At 37.3% G+C, this 24153-nt stretch overlaps 1 long non-coding RNA gene, 2 other non-coding genes and 1 pseudogene across 3 annotated transcripts in view, besides 1 other annotated feature; 1 reads left to right on the forward strand and 3 right to left on the reverse strand.

Moving 5' to 3' along the window:
- The window catches only part of MIR924HG (MIR924 host gene), a 545072-nt gene that overhangs the window by 460658 nt on the left and 60261 nt on the right, over nt 1-24153 (reverse strand). The window lies entirely within an intron of this gene.
- MIR5583-2 (microRNA 5583-2) lies at nt 9138-9196 on the reverse strand. The gene has a single exon (NR_049848.1). It is a non-coding gene; the product is annotated as a microRNA 5583-2 (primary transcript).
- MIR5583-1 (microRNA 5583-1) lies at nt 9140-9198 on the forward strand. Its single transcript, NR_049847.1, has one exon. It is a non-coding gene; the product is annotated as a microRNA 5583-1 (primary transcript).
- Nucleotides 10939-11041, reverse strand: RNU6-1242P (RNA, U6 small nuclear 1242, pseudogene; annotated as a pseudogene).
- Nucleotides 17637-18207: an enhancer, noted in NCBI's record as "OCT4-NANOG hESC enhancer chr18:37265182-37265752 (GRCh37/hg19 assembly coordinates)". NCBI's record gives its function as "activates a minimal SCP1, AML or CMV promoter by ChIP-STARR-seq in naive and primed H9 embryonic stem cells {active_cell/tissue: H9 hESC(naive and primed)}" and the evidence as "EXISTENCE:reporter gene assay evidence [ECO:0000049][PMID:30033119]".

Consider the following 24153-nt stretch of genomic DNA (forward strand, 5'->3'; position numbering starts at 1 on the left):
ACAAAATATCTTTAAAGTAACAACTAGACTACACTAGTGTTTGAGTAAACAGCGGGCACAATAGCTCAGCCAAGTGGACATGTAAAATTAACCATTGCAGCAACCATAGAGGTTTCCTGCACACACGCACACACACACACACACAAGGCAGCTTATTAAACAATGCATGTGCATTAAAACATATTTCTCCTCTAAATGACCAGTTCCTTCTTCTTCATACCATTCTTAAAATTGTTATTACTTGCTGTACTTAAGTATTCACAAAATCAATTCCACTGTTTTCATTAGGTTATTTTCCTTCATAAAACTTGTGAGGGTCCCCAGTCCATTTCTGGATAACATCCACAGGTTCCCCACTATCTGACCCCATACCATTCTGCCTCTCCATTTAACTCCCTGATACTCCTGCAAACCAAGCTTGTACTTCAGCCAGTCACTCTGCCTTCTGCAGCCCTCTAGCTTAGACTCTTCCTTGCTTTGCTTTTTTGAGTCTCTCCTCCTAGAGAATCTTCATATTGTTTTCAGCTATTGATATTTTCACTATGAATCATTTCCTGATTTGCTAAGCATAGATTCATTACCTACTGAAGCCTGAACAAATGGTTTTCTGATTATTTTTAAGGACTTTGGTTTCTCTTGATTGAATGACTGAGTGTAATTATTCATGTGTGTGTCCATTTTCTCTCTCTTTCTCTCTCTCTCTCTCTTTTAGCAGTAACCACCATGAAGCTTGAGCATCTTTTTATTTTTTCAATGTATCTCATTCAGGGGCCAGTGTGTAGTAGGTCTTCAGGATGTATGTACTTTTAGTATAAACAGAGAAGAAAGGAAGGAAGGAAGGAAGGAAGGAAGGAAGGAAAGAAGGAAGCAAGAAGGGAGGGAGGGAGGGAGGAAGGAAGGAAGGAAGGAAGGAAGGAAGGAAGGAAGGAAGGAAGGAAGGAAGGAAAACATGTTGATAACTTGATAGAGAAAGCACATACAAAATTATAAAATTTCAGAATTTTAAAGCTGAAAAGATCTTTGGTGTTCATCTTTGTTTGTTCCATCTTTTAATAAGGAAAAAAAAAACCAAAAAACAAGACTCAGAGACTTTAAGTGTCTTGTCTAGAAAGAAAATAAATGATTTAGGTTAAGTTCACAGATGTGGAATATACCTGACCCAGAATGCTTTATATGATACCATGCTGTCAACAAATAAATAATCAATGTCAATGGACCACTAAATTACCTGCTTTTATCACCCTCCAAATTTGCAGATGTTTCATTATTACCCTCCTCTTTCATGGGGTGTAGTAGTGTAGTCATAGGGCTGTTGACAAATGTTCCTGTTCTCCTTCTTCCTACAAGGGGGAAGGACTACACTCCTTGCTTCCTTTGGATTTGAACTTGGCCTGGTGACTTGCCTGAGCCAGTGTGACAGATGAGAAAGCAGATGCCACAGACTACTTTGGTGCCTTGTTTTTCCTCCATCAGACTGGCTCTTAGTATTTCAGATGGTGGAAGCTCTGTGAGTCTGGATTTGAGTAAGTATCACATAGAGTGGGGCCTCAAGCTGGTCTATGAAAGGACAAGGATCAATAAATTAACCTATGTTTCAGCAACAGAGTTTGGACGTAGCTGTTTCTACAGTGTAACTTAGCCCATCCCATCCAACACAGTGGGCATGCTGAAAATGAGTATATTCATTTGCTGGGGCTGTCATAACAAGATACCACAGACTGAGTGGTTCAAACAGCGGACACTTACTGTTTCATAGTTCTGAAAGACAGAAGTCCAAGATTAAAGTGTCTGTAGGGTTGATTTCTTCTGAGGCCTCTCCTTTTCTTGCAATTGGTCACATACTCGCTATGTTCTCAGGTGATCATTCCTCTGTGCAGGAGAATATGTGGTTTCTGTGTGTTTGAATTTCCTTTTTTAAAAGTCAAACTAGATTAGGGCCCACCCTATTGTCCTCATTTTAACATAATCACCTCTTTAAAGGCCTTATCTCCAAATATAGTTGCATTCTGAGTTATTGGGGTTTAGGACTCCAACATATGAAGTTTGGAGCAACACAGTTTCATCCATAACAGTGAAAAATATCATAATCTGTTTAAGATGTTGAGAAACATATGAACAAGTGAAGGCAATAGAAGCAATAAATTGGTTTGGTTGTCTGCCCTGGTCTCCATCAGAAAGTAAAGCTATGACTTGAGAAGTTTTAATTTGATTTATTGGATTAGTTTTAGTTTTGCTTCCTGCCTATTGCTGTTTAAGAAAATGCTGGAGATAGGTGGCGCGGTGGCTCACGCCTGTAATCCCAGCACTTTGGGAGGCTGAGGCCAGCGGATCACGAGGTCAGGAGATCGAGACCAACCTGGCTAACACGGTGAAACCCCGTCTCTACTAAAAATACAAAAAAAAATTAGCCGGGCGTGGTGGCAGGCGCCTGTAGTCCCAGCTACTCGGGAGGCTGAGGCAGGAGAATGGCGTGACCCCCGGGAGGCGGAGCTTGCAGTGAGCCAAAATCGCGCCACTGCACTCCAGCCTAGGGACTCCGTCTCAAAAAAAAAAAAAAAAAAAAAAAAGAAAAGAAAATGCTGGAGATCAAGAATGAAGCATAGATAGTTTACTGCTCACTAAATATTGGGGAACTCTCCCACATTTCCGAGTCTCCTTGAAATTAGATCGTGTGACTTGCTCTGGTCATAGGACTTCCTTGTGGAGTTGTTGGACTTACAGCAGATTTGCATGAGGAAGAAACAATGTTTTATGGGTTAACCCTCTGAGATCTAAAATAGTTTGCTATTATGGTATATTCCTATCCTAACCTTACCCCAAAAAAGTGTATGTGCAATAATGTATGTAGCGTATGTATGGGGGCATGCAGGCAGTGGCAATAGTTTAGGTTAGGGATATGCATTCAGTAGCAATGATAGGCAATGGAAATAACATGAGAACACTGACACTTTAGCAGAGTGGGCTTGCTTTATGTTTATTCTTTTATTTTTCATTTAGGATGGAAGGATTCCAAGAAAAACTTCATCTGCTTCACTATTTTACCTAGGGCTGGCCTCGAATACCAACCTAACAGAACCATCTTTTCTCCCTAGACAATTTACACTTCAGAAAAGCATTTGGAACTAAGTTTTCATAAGGTAGAAAGTAATTTAATGTTGAAAAGGTAGAGCCAACCATACATGAATAAATGCATATCCATTGCATATTAATAATGCAATATAATAATCTACCCTTCTCACTTTTAGAAGACTCCTCTGAGCCCTTTCTCAATGTTAAGATGGCTCTGAGCTCCAGGCCAATTCTGACTTTTTCTCCTTGTTTCTGCTAAGTGTTCAGGAGAGTTACAAGCAGACTCCAGGAAATCCATTTGAAATGGAGCCCTGGCAAAATTCTCTGAGACTAGAGAATAGTGAAGCAAAATGTAGGTAGCTATATCATGCCTGAAATAGTTGAATGAACAATGGTTGTTTATTCTAGATGAGAAAGAACATAGGGAGAGTACTATTACTGTTTTTCATTATTTCTACAGTGTCATATATATATATAAGTAATCAAGAAATTGCAAAGTAATTTGAGTTTACTGTTAGTTTTTGAAGTAGTAGCCACCTCAACATTAGGGTTAATGTACATAAATGTATGTATTTGAAGCTAATGTGTTTGATTTAACAATAGAGTTGCCTTCTATGATCTCTAAGATTTGTTCATTATTAGTTCAACAAACATTTGACAGATACTGGGTCAAATAAGTTATAATGTGATGTATTTATAAAGGTCAAATAAGTTAAAGTCCTTTTCCCTCACATATCTGAAATAGCTGACATTCTAGTAAGGGAGACGGATGGATGACCAACAATTCTATACTGGAAGTAGAGACAAGGCATATTAGTTCACAGAGAGCCAGACATTCTCCAAAGGCTTGTTGGAGGGTATCTTTGAGAAGGTAACTCTTAGCCTGGGATTTCTAAGAAAGGCAAAACCAAAGTCAGGCCATTACAGGCAAAGAATATGCAATGGAAGAGACATGGAAAAGAACATGTTTTTTGGTGTGTTCTAACTAGGGAAATGTCAGAAATGCTGTATAGCGAGAGTCCTGTCATGGTTAGAAATCAGGCTGGGAAGGTGGAGAGGCCAGGATGTGGAAGATTTTTGGATTTTATTCTACAGGCAATGAGAAGCCATGGGAAGATCTTAAACCCATGAGGAGCATAATATAAAGCACAAACCTTTGTACAGTCTCATTCATTTGCAAAGATCCATGATCCCAAGAGAATAATGCACTATCACTTCCTTTTAACTTCCACAGTTCTTGCAGTTCATATCTGAAGATATTTACCTTTTTCCTGCCACAGTACTCTTTAATTTTAGCTTTGAAAATATTTATTTTGGTTTTTTAAATCATTCCAACAAATGAGTGTCTGTACGACAGAATTGTGCCCTCTTTATCTTAATATTCCTTACAGTAACTGACATATATATTTGCCTAAACAGATGCTCAAAAAAAGAAATACTGCTAAGACTATATGACTTAGGCATCCTCCCGGGGGAGAATGCCAGAAAAGAGGCATAAGGCTCCCCTAGTAAAGTCTGAGGATACAACAGGTACTCAAGGAGCATGTAATTTAAGCAAGAATACCTAAGATGAAGAGCAAACCATGCTGCTTTCCACCTGAATTACTCAGCCTCAATTCCCTCATGTGTAATATGGGTAGAATAACTAGAATATTCATCTCATATGGCTTTTGTGAGAATTAGACGGGATGATATAAGTGAAAATGTTACAGGAATTGTGCAATACTATAAAACCGCTAGCAATGTTGGTAACAACAATGACGTCCATCATGAAGATAAGGAATTTTCAAGTAGTCAGACATGCAGAAATGCTTTCACTCTCATACAATTCAGATATAAGAACCTATGAAATGAGAACATCTTTAATCATGTTAAGCCCAAATATGTTTACTATCTAAACTGTGCTCTGAATTTGGCTAGTGGTGCTCCCTTCCCATATAGTTTCCATTGGAAAAATCATTTTGAATATTGAAAATGATAGAATGTAGAGTCAGAACTGCTAGGTGCTGGTGCTCGTTCTGGCTTCATTACTAATCATATTTTTTGCTTTCACAGCCATGGGATGGATAGTATTACAGTTCTGGCTTCCTCTACTGGATTAATTTTCTGGTCAAATAAAAGAATATGAAAACCCACCCCAGCCAGGCACAGTGGCTCATGCCTGTAACCCCAGGACTTTGGGAGGCCAAGGCAGGCGGATCACCTGAGGTCAGGAGTTTGAGACCAGCCTGGCCAACATGGTGAAACCCTGTTTCTTCTAAAAAAAAATTCAAAAATTAGCTGAGTGTGTTGGCACATGCCTGTAATCCCAGCTACTTGGGAGGCTCAGGCAGGAGAATTGCTTAAACCCGGGAGGCAGAGGTTGTAGTGAGGTGAGATCACGCCACTGCACTCCAGCCTGGGTGACAAGAGCAAAACTCCATCTCAAAAAAAAAACAACCCACCCCTATATTTATGAAAAGGAACATGCTATCCCCACAGATGTAATACTACTTGGTATAACATACAACACATTCAATGATTTCTAAGGACATTTGCCAAGAAAGGTGAGTTTGGGGAACTCAAAATTATGACCAAGAACTACATCAGCTCTATCCACCTACTCTAAGCCATATTTGTACACACAGAAACTTTATGCATAGAAATGGCTTTCCCAATCACCAGTATAGTAAGTGCAAGGTTACTGCAGCTGTATGGGCACATAAAAAAGGACAGGAAATGAAATGTCAATAGCAAATGTAATGCCTTTCTAATATACGTCCTTCACTTATTGAGACAGTTACCCAGCTGTTCTTGAAACAGGAATGATTTGTTAATAAACCAGGTATATTCTTTCAGCTCTCAAAAGAAGGAAAAATGCCTTCATCACATTTTTCTCTCCCACATCACCTGAAAGTATATTTCCTGCATTTCTATGACTATACATTTATTTATTCATTCATTCACAACTAATTTCTGGGCACCTACTACATGCTACTTTCATATGAGAATGTGGAGGCTAATCAAGCTGCCCTTGCTCTCAAGCACCTTTCAATATACTAAGGAAAGCCAGTCATGTAAACAAATCAGGGCAATAAAACATTATAGTTGTTATGACAGAAGTATATGCAGCATACACAGGGAGACACAAAAGGGAATGTTTAATTCTGCCTGGGGAGAAAGAAAAGACTTTATGAAGGAGGTGATGTTTGATGTGGTTCTTAAAATATGAGTGAATTTACAGGCAGACAACAGGGAGAAAAGCTGTCTTAGCTAAATATAATGTGGAAATACAAGTACTGCAGTGTAGAATGGGTCAGAGGATAGGATGATCAATTTACTGAGCAACAGAAATATCATCAGAGAAGGGATATCTGACACAGGATATCCAGTTAAATATCCAGATATGGAATCCAGCATGCAGGAGGGTGGCCAGGGCTGTACATGACAATGATCCAACTCTGACTCTTCCTTCTGCTGAGCCTTGAGGACAGACATCCTTTTCCTAGGATGCAGACATTTTTCCTGGTTCTGTAATTGGAGAAAAGTCTTAGTGAAGTCAGTCTTTGGATGTGGCTCTTGGCCCTCTGACTTTGCTTCTGTCATCAGATCCTGCAGGCTTCGGGACTGTGATTCTTCATTGATGAGTGTTCTATCCTCCTCTAGGGCATGTGCCTCTATCTACCTGATGTCACAAAGTTTGCATCCAGGTAGATAGTCACTATTAGAGGAACAGAAATAGGGTCTTGTGTGGCATTCTTTTAGAATGGTTGGAAGGCAGCATCACACAGTGGTTAAGGGTATGGAGTCAAGCAATAGGCACTTCATACCCAAGCCTTAGGTGTGGGATCAAGGGTAGCATCCTTCGCCTTCCTATGCCCTAATTTCTTTATCTATTAAAGGGGAATAATAATAGTTTCTTTTATAGAGTTTTCCATGAGGAATATAACATGATAAATATTAATTTCTGTCATTATTCATATGACTAGGTAAAGATGGTGAGATATTTGTCCCTAGAACGCAGATAACTGGATCAAGGCTACTCTTCCTGGAAACCTCATGTATGCCACCTGCCCAACCATTTCTATGGACATATTATGAAGACTACATAGGAGACTTTGATTTGGACTTTCCTAAATGGTTGGTTTAGGTTTTCATCTAAACATTTGGATGTTCATGCATGTAGAAGCAAAAATAAGTGGCCTATTTTAAATACTGGCCAAAGCCTTTTTTATAATTCTTAAAAAAAAATAAACTCTCATGACATTAAATTTCTTAAAATCTACACATAAAAGTAGTGACTGCTCTCTCATATATAAATATAAAACTCCCAGCATGTAAGTGCATTAGCTAAAATAAGTATTTGATCCTTTCAACCAAAGCCCATTTTCTCTCCCACCCAAAAACCCTTGAAGTGTGAGTATTACACTACTTTCAGATTTCTATGTAGGCAGGGGATAAATAGTCTGCTTCTGTAATTAATAACTATTAAAGCTGTTTGACTGATCATATCTTTGGGTTCCTGAAATCTCTTCTGTGCAGGTGTGCGTTAATGGAATTCATTAAATTCATATATTTCAACAGATAGTAATTTACGATCTTTTATAAGATCTGTCAGGAGCCGCAGCAGGAGATACAGGACTGTCTCAGGGCATTATAGAGCAAACCGGGCTCCCTCCCTCAGAAATGGCTCGCCTTTGAGTACTAAATACGAATGTCAGTGCAATAGGTAGTCACATTATGTGTGTTCTATGACATTTGCTATCTGAAAATATGTAGGATAAGCTTTTCATCACTGGCGAAACCCTGAACAGGGCTGAATGATTTTCAGAGACACTGAAGGAAAAATGTGTGGGAGTTCTAACCACTTTATATTTGCCATAAAAAAGGAGAACTTGGGAACAGATCAAGGTTCTGAGAAAGTAATGAGTTTTCCCAGGGATGAGTCATCCTCCCAAGCTCACTAAATGGGGCAGCCTCTCCATTCTGACCAGTGTTTTCAAGGGAAACAGAAATCAGCCTTGACTTCTGTCATGTCCCACCCTCGGCTCAGCCCAAAGAGAACTGCTGTCCTGTCAGAGATGGGGTGTCCCTTCGGCATGGCCAAGTTTCTGAGTGGGCAAAGCCATCAGCCACTTTCTTCAGGAGATCCCAGGATGGCAGGGCCACATTTAGGAGGTGAAATGCTACTTGAGGGACTTTCATAATTAATTTAAAACTGAAAACAAGCCTGAGAGAAACAGCAAAGGTATTATGTAATTATCAGCTAACATCTAAGGGGATGGTTAGAGGTGAATGAGAGGCAATGCGAGGTAGGAAGTTGTCCTGAGCCACCAGGAACAGGATGAAGAGAATGAGTTGGGAAAATTAGAAAGTAACAACCTTAAAAGTTCCCTTTCATATTTTATAAATGGAGTAAAATGTTCTTCAGTGGTTTTGAAAGGGGAAGAGGGTTGAGTTGAGGTCAAAGCCGATATTGCAATGAATGCTCCTGTTTATGCAATGCTCTTACCATTCAAAGAATTCTTAAAACAGTTAGACGAGGTTGGCAGGCCCCCTTTTAAAGGAGATAACTGAGCCCTATCCCTATTCCGAAGCTAATTTATGCTTCCAGGGTACAGTGGTCGTTTTCTGAGCTTATCCTATTCTGGAGTTTCCTAAGGAAATACAGACAGAGGCATCTGCTTTCAGGGACCATCTAAAAAATCAGCAATACCAGGACCACCAGCCAGATCCAAAATGTGAGAATGTGAGAGCCCTCACCAGGTAGGGGGGTATGTTTTCTTTTATTTTGTTTTGCTTGTCTTTGGTCAAAAAAATATATTTTTAATGTATTATATGGGCATATATACACATATGTATATTATATATATATATAATGTGTATATATCTTATGGACAATATTTACTACATGGTTAATTAGAGAAGTCATTTACCTTTTAAAATGCTTCATTTTCTAAACCAACCTACCATAGAGATATCTATAGATTATGCACCCCAACACATTTCTAGTCTAAATCATTAAACATGAGACCCTTCGAAATATAACTTTTGCACAAATATGGAATAGATCTATGACGTGGAGCTAACCAAACTAATATACCCATATTCTGGCTAGGTGATCATCAGAATATGGGTATATTAGTTTGGTTAGCTCTACATTGTAGATCTATTCCATAGATCCTTCTGTTTTTTGAATTGTATATTATCTTTTAAATTGAGGTATAATTTACATCCAATAAAATACAGTGTACAGTTCAATTAAGTATATAGTTCAATGAATTTTGAGAAATGTATACACCCACATAATAAGTCCCCAATGAAGATACATAATGTATTCATCACCCTAGAGCATTCCCTTCCCACCCTTTACCACTATATCCCACTCCATACCATCTCTGAGGCAACTGCTGTTTTGATTTCTGTAATGTCATATAAAGAGAACCATAAAGTATGTTCTGTGTTCTCTTTTATGTCTGGCTTCCTTCACACAACATAACATTTCTGAATCCATGTTAGGCTATGTATCAGTAGCTTGTTCCTTTTTTTTATTAGAGAGTACATATTGCATCGTCATACCACAACTTGGAACTATTCACTGGTTCATGAATATTTGTAATTTTTTTATGTTTGGTTATGAACAAAACTGCAATAAACATTCTTATATATAAATGTGTTTGTGGGCATGTTTTCATTTCTCTTGTGTAAATACATAAGACAGGAATCTCTAGGCCATATGATAACTATAGGTTTAATTTTATAAGAAACTGCCAAATTATTGTCCAAAGTGGTTGTACCATTTTTAAATGGACACTTAATAGTTATATATGTTTATGGTGTACAGAGAGATATTTTGATATATACAATGTGTAATGATCAAATTAGAGTAATTAGCCTATCCCCCACCTAAAACATTTATCTTTTCTTGGTGTTGGGAACACTCAAAATCCTCTCTTCTAACTATTAAAAATATATATACAAAAGAAATTAGCCAGGCATGGCAGCATGTGCCTGTAGTCCCAGCTACTCAGGAGGCCGAGGCAGAAGAATTGCTTGAACCTGGGAGGCGGATGTTGCAGGAGTCGAGATTGCGCCACTGCATTCCAGCCTGGGTGACAGAGTGAGACTCCGTCTCTACAGTAAAAAAAAAAAAAAAAAAAAAAAAAAAAAAAATATATATATATATATAATAAATTGTTAGTCACCCTACCATGTTTTAGAAGACTAGAACTTATTTCCCCTGTCTAGCTGAAATTTTGTTTCCATTAACCAACCTCTCCATATCTCCTGACCCAACCCTTCCTAGCTTTTAATAACCATCATTCTAGACTCTGGGCCAGGAGCAGTGGCTCATGCCTGTAATCCCAGCACTTTGGGAGGCCGAGGCAGGTGGATCACAAGGTAAGGAGTTCGAGACCAGCCTGGCCAGCATGATGAAACCCCATCTCTACTAAAAATATGAAAATTAGCCAGATGTGGTGGTGCTTGCCTGTAATCCCAGCTACCCGGGAGGCTGAGGCAGGAGAACTGCTTGAACCCAGGAGGCGGAGGTTGCAGTGAGCTGAGATTGCACCACTGCACTCCAGCCTGGGTGACAGAGTGAGACTCTGTCTCAAAAAATAAATAAATAAATAAATAACCATTATTCTATACTCTACTTCTATGAAACCAACTTTTTAAGCTTCTGTTTGTGAGGGAAAACATGTGATATTTACCTTTCTGTGCCTGAATTATTTTACTTAACATAATATCTTCCATGCTCATCCATATTGCTGCAAATGACTGAATTTCATTCTTTTGTATGACTAGTATTCCATTGTGTACATATACCTCATTTTCTTTATCTATTCATCTGCTGATGAACACTTAGTTTGATTCCATATCTTGGCTAAAACTATGGAATACTTCACAAATTTCTGTGTCATCCTTGGACAGGGGCCATACTAATCTTTTCTGTATTTTTTTTTTTTTTTTGAGATGGTGTCTTACACTGTTGCCCAGGCTGGAGTGCAGTGGCGCAGTCTTGGCTCACTACAACCTCTGCCTCCCGGGTACAAGCGATTCTCCTGCCTCAGCCTCCTGAGTAGCTGGGATTACAGGTACCCACCACCACACCGGCTAATTTTTGTATTTTTAGTAGAGATGGGGTTTCACGATGTTGGTCAGGTCGGTCTTGAACTCCTGACCTCGTGATCCACCCGCCTCAGCCTCCCAAAGTGCTGGGATTACAGGCCTGAGCCACTGTGCCCAGCCTTCTGTATTATTTTCAGTATATGTGCTGCTGAAGTGAGCACTAACCTTTTTAATGCCTTCATTATATTTTCAAATACTTCTAGGAATTAGTATTACAGGCAAGATTAATCAGTGTTAACTACTGATATTAGAATAATGATTCAATTTAAATCTTTCAAATAGTAATTTGTCAAATAAATATTCAGGATATCTTGTAATAGCTAAGTTTACAAAGAAAAGTAAGACATAGTCCTTGCTCTTGAGAAACTTATGATGTATTAAGAAAAACTAGAAGCCAATATGGTAAACGATAATGAATGTGCATAAACCAGTGTGGGGATATAAGGCAGTTACAAAGATCTTCACAAGGCTCAGGCTGGGCTTCAGATTCTTGAGGACATTTGAGCCTTGAAGAGGTCTTTCAGTCACTCAACATGTATTCCTTAGGTGCCAATTATGTTCAGATGCTCAGTAAATGGAATTGCATTTTGTAAGGAGGGAGACTCAAGGTCAAAGCAGGAAGATTGTATCCAATCTGGAGCCAGCAAATTGACAGGGAGAGAGAAGGGAATTAATAATTACTTCGCACCTATTGTCTACTGGGTGCTTAATCTCTCAGCAGGCCTAGTTCAAGATTTTTGTTCCCACATTACAGACGACAAACCTGAGTTTCAGAGAGGTTACTCTGCTTGCCCAGGTTCATAGAGCATGCATGACGCAGAACTGGAGTGTGAATGCATCTGGTGTCCTTGCAGAGTCCACTCCCAGGGCAGCTGCCTTTTTGCACAGGCATAGAAACAGAATAAAAGAAGATGAAGAGAGAATGAGGGAGGCACCAATGGCAATGTGATTTTAGTGGCTGAGGTTACATTATGCTTTAGCTAGAAATGGAAGCCACAGGGGCCTTGAGACAGAAAGTAAAGAGCTTTGGCTTTAAAATCAGAATTGCCTGAGTTCATATCCCGACTCATTCACTGGGTAGCTTGACCATTGTTGATTATAAGCTTAATCAGAGGTCATCAGGGATAATAATATCCATTGCATCACTGTATACCAACATCCAGTGTTTAAGTAAATATGACACTTAGTAGTTGTTTGGGCAATATTATTTCAACTTTCTGTTTTGCCCATCAAAGGAACAGCTATTTCATAATGTTGTAGAGCAGAAAAGAAAATTCATGTGTCAAATAAAAAGTAGTTATATTTATTTAAATAATGATCACGTCATTGGCCAAATTCTAAATGCAAGGAATTCATAGCACTGCCTTTTGTCCTGTGTGGACTCTGTCTTGCTTCTTCTCCTGTATTTTTATGTTGCTTTTTTTTTGGACATTGTGACAGCATTCTAAGTCCTAAAGCCCACCCATGTCCACCCATCACCTCCTTTTATAATGCTTATTGGTTTGGGTTTCAAGATATCTTTCATGAGCCATACTCACATTACCTTCATGATATTAATGAAATTTCCTACAATTGCATGTAGATCACTGTTTCTTATTATTTTGCATGAAGTTTAGCTGACACGAACCTGCTTTACAAATGTACATTTACTCCCAAATTCACTTGCTTTGCAATGCTTTAGATGGGTTTACCTAAAAACCTTGGCTACAATTGAGAGCACCTGCCAGTTCCACAGGAGCAATAATCAGAAGTGGTTTCTGACACTGAGCAATGCTATGGTCACACAGGGACTACCTGGAACATTGAGACAATTACCTTAAGATCAAGGCCCCTAAACCAAAAGAAGAGAAAAAAAAAGTTTTTTTGTTTTTCAATTGCTGGTTGGTTGTTTACAATCAGATTAAATATCCACTTTTTGCATAACCCATGGATAGACTAAATGGTGAATCTTAAAGACAATAATCAAAAGGGCAACATTATGGAGAACTCCTGTAAGGTAAGTCTAGAAACTAGAGTAAAAATGAACTGAGTGGTATTTCTAAGAGATTGACTCAAAAAAAAAAAAAAAGCTGGTAGAGTCAAAACTAAAAGAGCAGAACCATCCAATTGGAGAATTTTTTAAGTGAGATGTAATTTCGTAGGTGACAGTAAAAACCAGACTGGACATGGCAGTAGCAAATGCACTCTAAGGAACAATTTCGGTGGTAGGAACAAGTTGGCCTTATTGCCCTAATGGATCATCCCTTTCTCTATCTGCTGTGATATGAGAGCTGATGAGATCCTGCCTGAGGCAGCGGGACTGTCTCAACACAGATTGTCTCTCCATTCACAGGGGTAAACACTTTACTGGGAGGTTTAAAGTGAAATTTAGAATTACACAGAAGTACCTAGGAAACGGATTATTTTTTTCTTCAGTGAACTCTTGAGAGGGCTTCTCAGTAAAGTTCAAGCAAGCAGGTGTGCCGAAAATTGCTTTAAAACCAAACAGACAGTAGGAGGCATGCATATGCCAGAAATCATAGCCCCCGTGAGAGAGACAAGCCCATTTTTCAGCAGCAGCAGCTGTTGGTGCATCTGCAGACAGGTTGCTGTCAGGAGTGTTGAGCAGAGAAATTTCAGGAGAAAGGTGCACATGAGAAGAGAAGAGGCGTGAGGTCTCTGGTGTATGAGATTCAGCAAAGAAACTTGGGTGATGCACTGAGTCCTGGGCTGACATTGTTAGAATTTAGAATTTCATCTGAGACTGGGAGCCTGGACGAAAGTGGCACTGAGACTTTAGATTGGAGTTTGTTAAATCCTGGGCAATAAAAATTGTAGTTCACTCTAATGAAACTTCCTGGGAAGACTATTAGTATTAAACAGGGAGACTCTCTCCCCAGAAATAATGCTAAATCACAGACACAAATACTTGCAAGTCCAGTTCAGCACAAGCCAGAACATGATTGCACTTTTTAAATTAAATTCACTCTTATTGCTTTGGCAGTTGCCATTTTCTGAAATTAATAGGAATGGAACGCATGAACCAAAGGGCTAAGGGTGACCATACTGTGTTAGAGGGTACAGAGGTGAAGGCGACAAAGGTGGGTGGGCAGGCAGAGGAAGGGGTGGCCATATCTTTATTAAGCATTTACTTCAAGGGAGGAGATCGATGAAAAAGGCTAGGACTCTAACATAATCAGAATTTCACAAAATTGTTGGGGATGTTAAGGCTCAAAATAACAACCTGTATTTTACTATAGAAAAATTTAACTGTTTCTTTTAATGTCTCTTAGCATCATGAGGACCCAAAATTATCTTATATCCTTTATGTGACTCAATATGCCTGCTAGCAAATTGCTGATCACCAGGGTGGTGCTTACTTCTTAGCTTTTAAATTATATGGTAATATTAAAAATAAGTCTTAAAGGATCCTAATTCTTTAATAGTAGCCATCTTTATTCCACAAGCCTCACTGTGAATTATTTATCGAAATTCATTAAGTGAATCACTTGCTCACGAATGTAGCAAATATTTGTTAAGCTGTCTCACTGTGTGCCAAGTGGTCACTTTTTGGACATAGAGATTAGAAGCATTTGGTTCCTACCCTCAATGAGTTCACTTTAGAATCAATGAAAGAAGGAACAAAATGACCTTTGTGACAAAATCACAATACAAAGGAGTAAGTGCCACAGTATCTGCACTTATCCAATATGAACAAGGCTTCTCAACCTCAGCCTGGGGATTGAGATTAGAAACACTGTCAGGAAGAGGAGCTGCTGGCATTGACCTTTGGGAAATGAGTGATGATTAGGCAAGTGGCCATGGTTGGGTAAGGTATACCAAATGGGAACAACATGGACACAAGCAGAGGACAGACAGAACATAAACAATTAGGGAACTGAATACAGATCAAGAGAATCAAAAAGAGAGGTAAGTAGAAAATCATAGTTTGAGAGGAGTTTGCAGAAACAAGGCCAGAAGCTAATACAGGTAACACTAAGGTACATGACAGTGATTAGAATCCACCAGAAAATTTTGAATAGTAGTAATGTTAACAGATTTGCAGTTCAGAAAGAATTTTGGTGACATTGTGGAGGATGGATTCAACTGAGATGAAGCTGGAGGCATGAAGGCAGGTTAGGAAATTATTACAGTGGTCCAGAGAGCAATAACGAAAGTCTGCACTAAAGCAGAGGTAGGTAGATAGCAGATGGGGATTTGAGAGACTTAGGAAATAATGTTTGTAAGATATGGAGTGTGAGAGGATAGAGGTGTGAGGGGAAGAAAGGATAGAACCTGGAAACATTCTTTCAAGCACATTAAAAATATCAACCTATTTAATATCATAAGAGTCATATTAGTTAAGAAATAATGCATGACTATACTACAGATGTGGAAATGGACACAAACCCAGGTATTGTCCTACGCTTATCAGACACCTGTTGCAGCCTCTTGTTGCAGATCAGACCATCCCTTTGCAGTAAATGGAAGAATCAGAATCAAAGCCAGCATCCTGTTCTTTCAAGCACCCTATCTTGGATATAGCAATTAGAAACAGGTGAAACAAAGGATGGGGGTTACATTCTGCAAAAACCTCGTTGCCCTAACCAGACAACAGGAGAAACAATGCTACAGAGAAAAACAGACTTCAGTCCAGATGGCAAGGTGAGTCAACGCATACCTCATCCTCTCTGCCTTTGATATTGGAACTATCATGGCCACATGTTTATCATAGCAAGTGGCCTTGGAACACGGTTACTTATAATGGCAGTTCTCAAAGACAAGATTAAATCGAATGAGAAAAGGCAATATCCGAAGCACAGTTGCTGAATGCTTTCAAATTGAAGAAATTCAAGCTCAAGTCTAAAAACTGAAAGTTTAAGAAAAATAAAAAATGGGATATAAAAAAAGGGAATTGACCCCTAGACAGATAATAGTAAAAATAATGAATATCAAAGTTTAAAATGACCAGCAAAATAAAGCAGATATTATACACAGAGACTGCAATAGGACTGAGAACAGGGTTTTCATTGCCTATGGGAGATGCCACACAATAATGAGTAATAATGTTGAATGGGTGAATGAAAAACATTCATCAGTCTACAGTTGTATAATCAGCATTATTGAAAAATTAACAAAATAGCTATGTTTTGTCTTACGCAAATACTGAGTGAACTACGCATAGGCCAGGCACGCCTGTAATCCCAACACTTTGGGAAGCCGAGGCAGGAGGATCACCTGAGGTGAGGAGTTTGAGACCATCCTGACCAACATGGCAAAACCCTGTCTCTACTAAAAATACAAAAATTAGCCGGGCGTGGTGGTGAGCGCCTGTAATCCCAGGTACTCAGGAGGCTGAGGCAGGAGAATTGCTTGGACCCAGGAGGCACAGGTTGCAGTGAGCCAAGATTGCACCACTGCACTTCAGCCTGGGCAACAGAATGAGACTCCTTCAAAAAAACAAACAAACAAACAAAGAAAACAAACTACACATAGGTCTTCAAGGAAATCTCAAATGAAGAATGAACTATAGCAAGGGGCAAAGTAATATCCTAAAAAACTGGTAAATATTGACATAGATATGCTGTAAATTATTTAACTTTAAGATATAAGAAATGAGCTGGGAGCAGTGGCTTACACCTGTAATCCCAGCACTTTGGGAGGCCGAGGCAGGTGGATCACCTGAGGTGAGGAGTTCGAGACCAGCCTGGCCGACATGGTGAAACCCTGTCTCTACTAAAAATAGAAAAATTAGGTGGGCATGGTGGCGGGCGCCTGTAATCCTGGCTAGTCAGGAGGCTGAGGCAGGAGAATCGCTTGAACCCGGGAAGCGGAGGTTGTAGTGAGCAGAGACACTGCACTCCAGCCTGGGCAGCAGTGCAAGATTCCATCTTAAAAAAAAAAAAAAAACCAACCAAATAAACAAAAAACTATACATAGGTCTTTAAGGAAATCTCAAGTGAAGAATCAACTTTAGCAAGGGGTAAGGTAAGATCCTACAAAAATGGTAAATACTGACATAGATATGTTGTAAATTATTTAACTTTATGGTATAAGTAGCTGGTAGCAGTTGCTCATGCCTATAATCCCAGCGCTTTGGGAGGCGAAGGCGGGCAGATCACTTGAGGTCAGGAGTTTGAGACCAGCCTGGCCAACATGATGAAACCTCATCTCTACTAAAAATACAAAAATTAGCAGGTGTGGTGGCAGGCACTTGTAGTCCCAGCTGCTTGGCAGGTTGAGGCAGGAGAATCGCTTGAAGCCAGGAGGCAGAGGTTGCAGTGAGCTGAGATCTCGCCACTGCACTACAGCCTGGGTGACAGAGCGAGACTCCGCCTCAAAAAAAAAAAAGATACAAGAAATAAGTAATACTATATTGCATATTTTAAAAGACAGAATTGAGGCTCTAGATTAAAAACAATAAGAATATTTGGGAGATTTTTTTCAATCTGTTATTAAAACATAAGACTGTCCATGTATTTTGAAAGAGAAACCAATAATAAATTAGATTGTTAATAAAGAGTTATTGAGGCAAGATAATAGGGTCTGGAGGCAGGGGACTTTAAGGCCAATTCGTGCTGAATTCCTAAAGCTGAATAAAAGGAAAACACCAAGGTCTAGGGGGCAGGGAATCTAAGGCCAATTAACACCGACTTCCTAAAGCTCAACCAAAAGGAAAAACCCCATCTCCCCCTGCCCAAGTAACAAAGGATCAAAGGCTACTCTCTCTGCAACCCTCCCCCTTCCACCACATCGCAGAGGGAATGGGAAAGTGTCCTGGATTGGCAGTGGGCCAAGGATAAGCCATCCCTTCATCTGCATAGGGCACAAATTCACCTCAGTCTTTAATTAGCCATGGACCAAATCCTTTATCCAGATAAGGGGTAGCCCATAGGGACCTCAAAAGGAGTACTTAAAACCCAGAAAACTTTGTACCCAGGCCCTTTGAGCTGCAGGCTAGGGCCTACTCCCACCCTGTGGAGTGCTTTTTTGCTTCCTGCTTTCCCTGCTTCCTTCCTGTTACTTTGTGCATTTTGTTCAATCCTTTGTTCAAAACACCAAGGACCTGGACAACTCTCACTCACGATCTTCCTTCCAGTAACATTATAATCTATGTATAATGTACCTATATATTTATGGCTAAACATTAGAAATAATAAAAATATAATGCAGTGCTTCCAAACCAGAAGAAAGAAAAACAAAGGAAATAAATAAAATTCTGATAATTAAATAAATATTGGAAGGAAAATAAAAATGTAAAAAAGAAAAATATTATAAACAGAAAACACTAGGTATGGTAGAAATATTTCAAATATATCAAGAACTCCAATAAATATAAAGAAATTAAGCTTTCTTATTAATATCAGAAAATGTGATACAGTCTTAAAATCTTTATTATGCTGCTTTAAAAGATACATTAAAACAGGGCCAGGTGCAGTGGCTCACGCCTGTAATCCTAGCACTTTGGGAGGCCGAGGCGGGAGGATCACGAGGTCAGGAGATCGAGACCGTCCTGGCTAACACGGTGAAACCCCGTCTTTACTAAAAATACAAAAAATTAGCCAGGCGTGGTGGCGGGCACCTGTAGTCCCAGCTACTCGGGAGGCTGAGGCAGGAGAATGGTGTGAACCCTGGAGGCAGAGCTTGCAGTGAGTTGAGATCACGCCACTGCACTCCAGCCTGGGCAACAGAGCGAGACTCCATCTCAAAAAAAGAAAAAAAAAAATACATTAAAACAAAATGACATAGAATTATTAAAAATGAGAAAAAGAGGTAAAAATAAAACAGATACTATGAAAGACAATAACCAAAGGAATGCTTTATAACAATATAGTAACATTAATGTCATACAACATATGTCATACAGCAGAGAGTAGTGATATAGTGATAAAAAGAGCAATTCCGATAATATATAACAACTGTAGGCATGAATAGTCTTTATGTCAAAATATGAAGCAAAAATATAATTAGAAAAATAAATTTTTAATACCAAATATTTTAATATATATATTTAGATACTCAAAGATCAAGCAGATAAAAAGTCAACATCTAAATGATTAAAATAAACATATTAACAAATTTGAATATACCCATCTCCCTCTACATCAATTTCAAAATTTTTAAACAAATATTTGTAAAACTCTATGCTCATAAAATAGACTTCTTCAAATATATATGGAACACTTTTTAAAAATTTGATTACATTCTAAGGAGGAAAAGAAGTTTCTACACATTGTTTTATTTTATTTTATTTTATTTTATTTTATTTTATTTTATTTTATTTATTTTATTTTATTTTATTTATTTTGAGACAAGGTCTTGCTCTGTTACCTGCGCTGGAGTGCAGTGTTGTGATCTCAGCTCACTGCAGCCTCAATCTCCTGGGCGCAGGTGATCCTCCTACCTCAGCCTCCCTAATAGTTGGGACCACTGGTGTGTGCCACCATGCCTGACTCATTTTTATATTTTTTGGAGAGATGGGGTTTCACCATGTTGCTTAGACTGGTCTTGAACTCCTGACCTTAAACGATCCGCCCACCTTGGCATCCGAAAGTGCTAGGGTAACAGGCATGTGCCACTGTACTCGGCCTATGTTTTAAATAATTAATGTCATATCAGCCGTATTTTCTGACAGCATCTTAATAAGTTTAGCTATGAACAATGTAAAATTGGATAATGAAGAAAGTTTAGAATGTTTTAAGTGAATAAACCTATATAAGTTCTGAATTAAAGGAAAAATAGAAATAAAATAGTATTAGAAGTAATTAGCAAATGAATCAATAAACAAACTTTTTGAGCTATAATGGTATTTAAATTTAAATATAAATGTAAATATATGGTTCCAAACTCTCTGTTTAATATAAACAAAGATTGGCAATTTATGAATAAACTTTTAACTGATAAAGCCAGAAAACTAATAGAATTAATACAAACAGTAAAAGGGAGAAAATAACGATTAAAGCATATACAAATGAAATGGGAAACAAATAACCTCAACAATATAATAAATAATAAAATTGAGTTTTTTCCTACAAACAATTAACAAAAGGATTAACCAAGGATTTTAAAACTCTAGCAAGGCTGTTCAAGAAATAAAAAATTGCTCAACTAAATAATATTACAAATAAAAAGAACTTCAAATAGAGTGTTAATTTTCTAAAATCATAGTTTAAAACTATGAACAACTTTATACCAATACATTTGGTGAAAAATGAAACGGACAATCTGAAAGAAACGTATAAACTGCAAAAATAAATTCAAAGAGACAGAGTAAATAAAATCAATGTATTACAGACTATGGAAATAACAATCAACAATTCCCTCTTCCTTTTTTCACTGCCCAATTTTATACATATTATACTCAGATTGATTTACAAGCATATGTAAGCCATGTCTTACAGGGATACCCAATTTGTCTTATAAAGCCAGGAGAACTTTTATTAAGACTGAGTGAGAAAAAATGTAGGAAACTATGATGATTGACCAATGTTACCATGAACATGAATATAAAATTTAAAAAGCAATAAAAACTTAAAACCTACATTCAGCATCATAATAAAAGAACTAGGGTTTATACAAAGTAATACAATGATGGTTTAATGTAAGAAAACCTACTGTTCTTTATGAACGATTAAAGGGCAACGATATTAAGAATATCTTAATAGATGCAGAGAACAAATTGAATCAAATAAGCACTTATCGATGATAAACAAAAAGTTATAGTAACATGAGAATAGAAGAGCATATCCTTAAGTTGATAAAGAATAGCTAATGAATTGGCAAATTAAACAGATGACTTAAAACTTAATGATAAAGCCACACTGGTTGCAAAGAACCGTCTGTTATAACCTGTGAATGAGCATGAGCAGCAACATTGCTCTAGACAAGATTTATCTTAAAAAAGCTATGATTTTTTTAACAGCCTTACACATTGGCAATCATGCATCTGTAAAGTAATGACAAAAGATACCCTTAAAATGACAACAATAGTGAAAAGGCACTTACAAATAAATCTAACAAAAGATATTGTAAATGACATATGAAAATTTAGGAAACACAATTTTGAAGAACTTCGAATAAGATTTTAATTGCATAAAATATGTTGATTTTAACTGTAATTTCATATAACTTTAATCTAATTACAAATAAAATTGTAAAAGAGTGTTTTGAAGACCTTGACCCATGAATTATTTGGAAGGATAAAGGACAAGGAATACTCTAGAAGAAAAAGAAAGAAGGAGCTGGAATAAAAACTTGTCTTATTATTTAACAAGATTTATTAAAATACTGTAATGCTGGAGCAGTAGAGACATATTATAACGACGGAGCAGAATGGAAAAACAATCTTAGACCCACTTGTATGTGAAAATTTGATGCATGACAAAAAAAGGTATTAAAAGCCAGTGGGAGACAATGTAGCAAATATTGTTTGGAAAATAGCTATTCACTGGTAAAAAATAAATATAGATCCCTGAGTTACAAAATAGACCTACATCAATTTCACATGGAAAAGGCCTATGTGCTAAAAGCTGAACTTAGAAACTTTCAGAAGAAAATACAGGGAAAATTTTACTATACTAAAAATTTTAAGAACATCTTTAAGAAGATATAAAAAACACAACTAGAGATGTATAAAATTAAAGCTTCATATAAAAAATACATTTCAAATAAAATTAAAACCACATATTAGAAAAAATATTGAGTGAATATATGACATTAGCTTACATTGCATGATATATAATTTATACCTATAAGTCAATCAGAAAAATAAATGTGCAATAGAAAAATGAGAAAGGATCTGATCATAAAGTTCCACAAAGAACAACAGCAAATGTCTAACATTAAAAACATATTGGACCTTACCCTTTATGAGGAAAATGTCAATTAAAACAATGTGATTATTTGATCACTTGAAAGCCATTAGATTGATAGAATTTTAAAAGGTGACAACTTCAAGTGTTTGGATGGCTGTGGGTAAATGGGAACTCTAATAGTGACATGTTGAAATATAAACTGGTAAAGCTATCTTGGAAAGCAATTTACCAATACATAGGAAAAGTAAAATCACACATGCTCTATGACCTGCCATTCAATTTCTACACCTACATGATTTAAAAAAATTATGCAGTTATACAAGGAATGACGTGAAATTATATTTATTTCACTATTATTAATAACAGCGAAAAATTATAGTCCATATAATTTCGAACCACTAGTAGATATAGGTAAATGTTTACTGTTTTAATCAATTACTTACTAACAGTTAAAACAAATCAACTAAATATAATGAGCAAAAATGCAATTGCAAAAGAACATGTAAGTGATTTCTGCAATTTAGTCTGAGATGCATCCAAAAACGAATATGTATTAATGGGTGTGTAATAAAGCCAGAATAGCAAAATGTTGATAAATCTAAGTAAAAGGTATGTAGGTGCTCACTGTAAAATTCTTTCCAACTTGTTGTGTATATGAATATTTTAAATATAGTTGAATTTGATAACATACTATAAATACTCATAAATTATATTATTTGCAGAATGATACATTAATAATAAAATTGTAAAAACATGCATGGAAATGACACATATTAACTTCAGAGTAATGGTTACTTCTAGGGAATGAGAGAAGGAAAGGGATGAAAGGTGAGGATTTACTCTATCAGTCATGTTTCCTAGTATTAAAGAAAGAAAAAGTAAGGAAGAGAGAAATCTAAAATACAGCAAAAAGATTTCCATGTGTTAATACCAAGTTGTTCATTCAGAGATATAGTTTATTACTTTTGTACATACTTCTATCTAATTGAAATATTGCCTGATTAAAACTTATATCAAAACACGATGAACGATATCTACATTATCAAAATTATCTTAAAAGGATAATATTGGCTTAAAAAGCAAGATCATTTGCATTGTAAAATGCCTGGTGCATAAAATTTTTAAATGCAAAACAATCTTAAGTGTTGTATATGGATATATGCATAAATAATAAAAGTAAAAAAGCACAAATGTGAAGATACTCACCAAATAAAAGACAGTGGTTAACCCAGGGGAAGAAAAGAGCAAAATGAGTTAAGGAACGGTAAAGGTCGTTTCAATTGAATTTGCAACATTATAGTCCTCAAAACAATTTTACTTTTGATAAATCTGGGTAATAGAACACAGTTCTTCAAGTTTTAAAATTTTCATGATACATAATAAAAAAGAAATCATAAATCAGTACAGTCTAAAAGAATGACCTGACTTCTCAAGTCAGAAACAGCATCACAAAAAGAAAGAACTCTCCCATGACACATGAGAAACTGCTAGCATATTCCAAGAACTCTTTTTCCTATTAGTCTATGATATTAGCTTAGATCATTGATTACTGGTTATATTCATTTATTTCTGTACATACGATAATCCTGTGCTGTTTTGTGGCCATTATTTTATATATCTTACATTGTATCCTCAAATCATAGGGTTTAAAAAATTCTTACTGAATATTTGATAAAACCATTTAACCAAACTGAGGATTCATCTGGATCATTCTAAACATTTCTCATTCTTTTTTTTGTTAAGAAGCTGAGATCACAAGAAATATCTAAGAAACTTCCTGGAGAAGTTGCATATTGGAAAGGATCATTTAATTTGAACACCAGTGAGGCAAAATTCCTTAAGAAAAGCGTAGCCATTAGATACAAAGCAGAATGTCTACAGTGGTTATAATTCAACCTTTTCAGGCCCTCAGCTGCTTTTCCCAGCTAAGAGCCAAGAGTGTCTACCCAGGATCCTGGGCATTCAGCGTGAAATGAGCAATGCCGACGTTTCTTAGGCCAGTCGCTGTGGCTCACGCCTTGGGAGGCCAAGTTGGGCAGATCGCTTGAGCTCAGGAGTTCGAAACCAGCCTGGGCAACAAGGCAAAACCCCGTCTCTACAAAAAACACAAAAATTAGATGGGCGGGGTGGCATGTGCCTATAGTCCCAGCTACTTGGGAAGCTGAGGTGGGAGGATTGC

Source organism: Homo sapiens, chromosome 18 (genome assembly GCF_000001405.40).
Source record: "Homo sapiens chromosome 18, GRCh38.p14 Primary Assembly".
Taxonomy (NCBI): domain Eukaryota; kingdom Metazoa; phylum Chordata; class Mammalia; order Primates; family Hominidae; genus Homo; species Homo sapiens.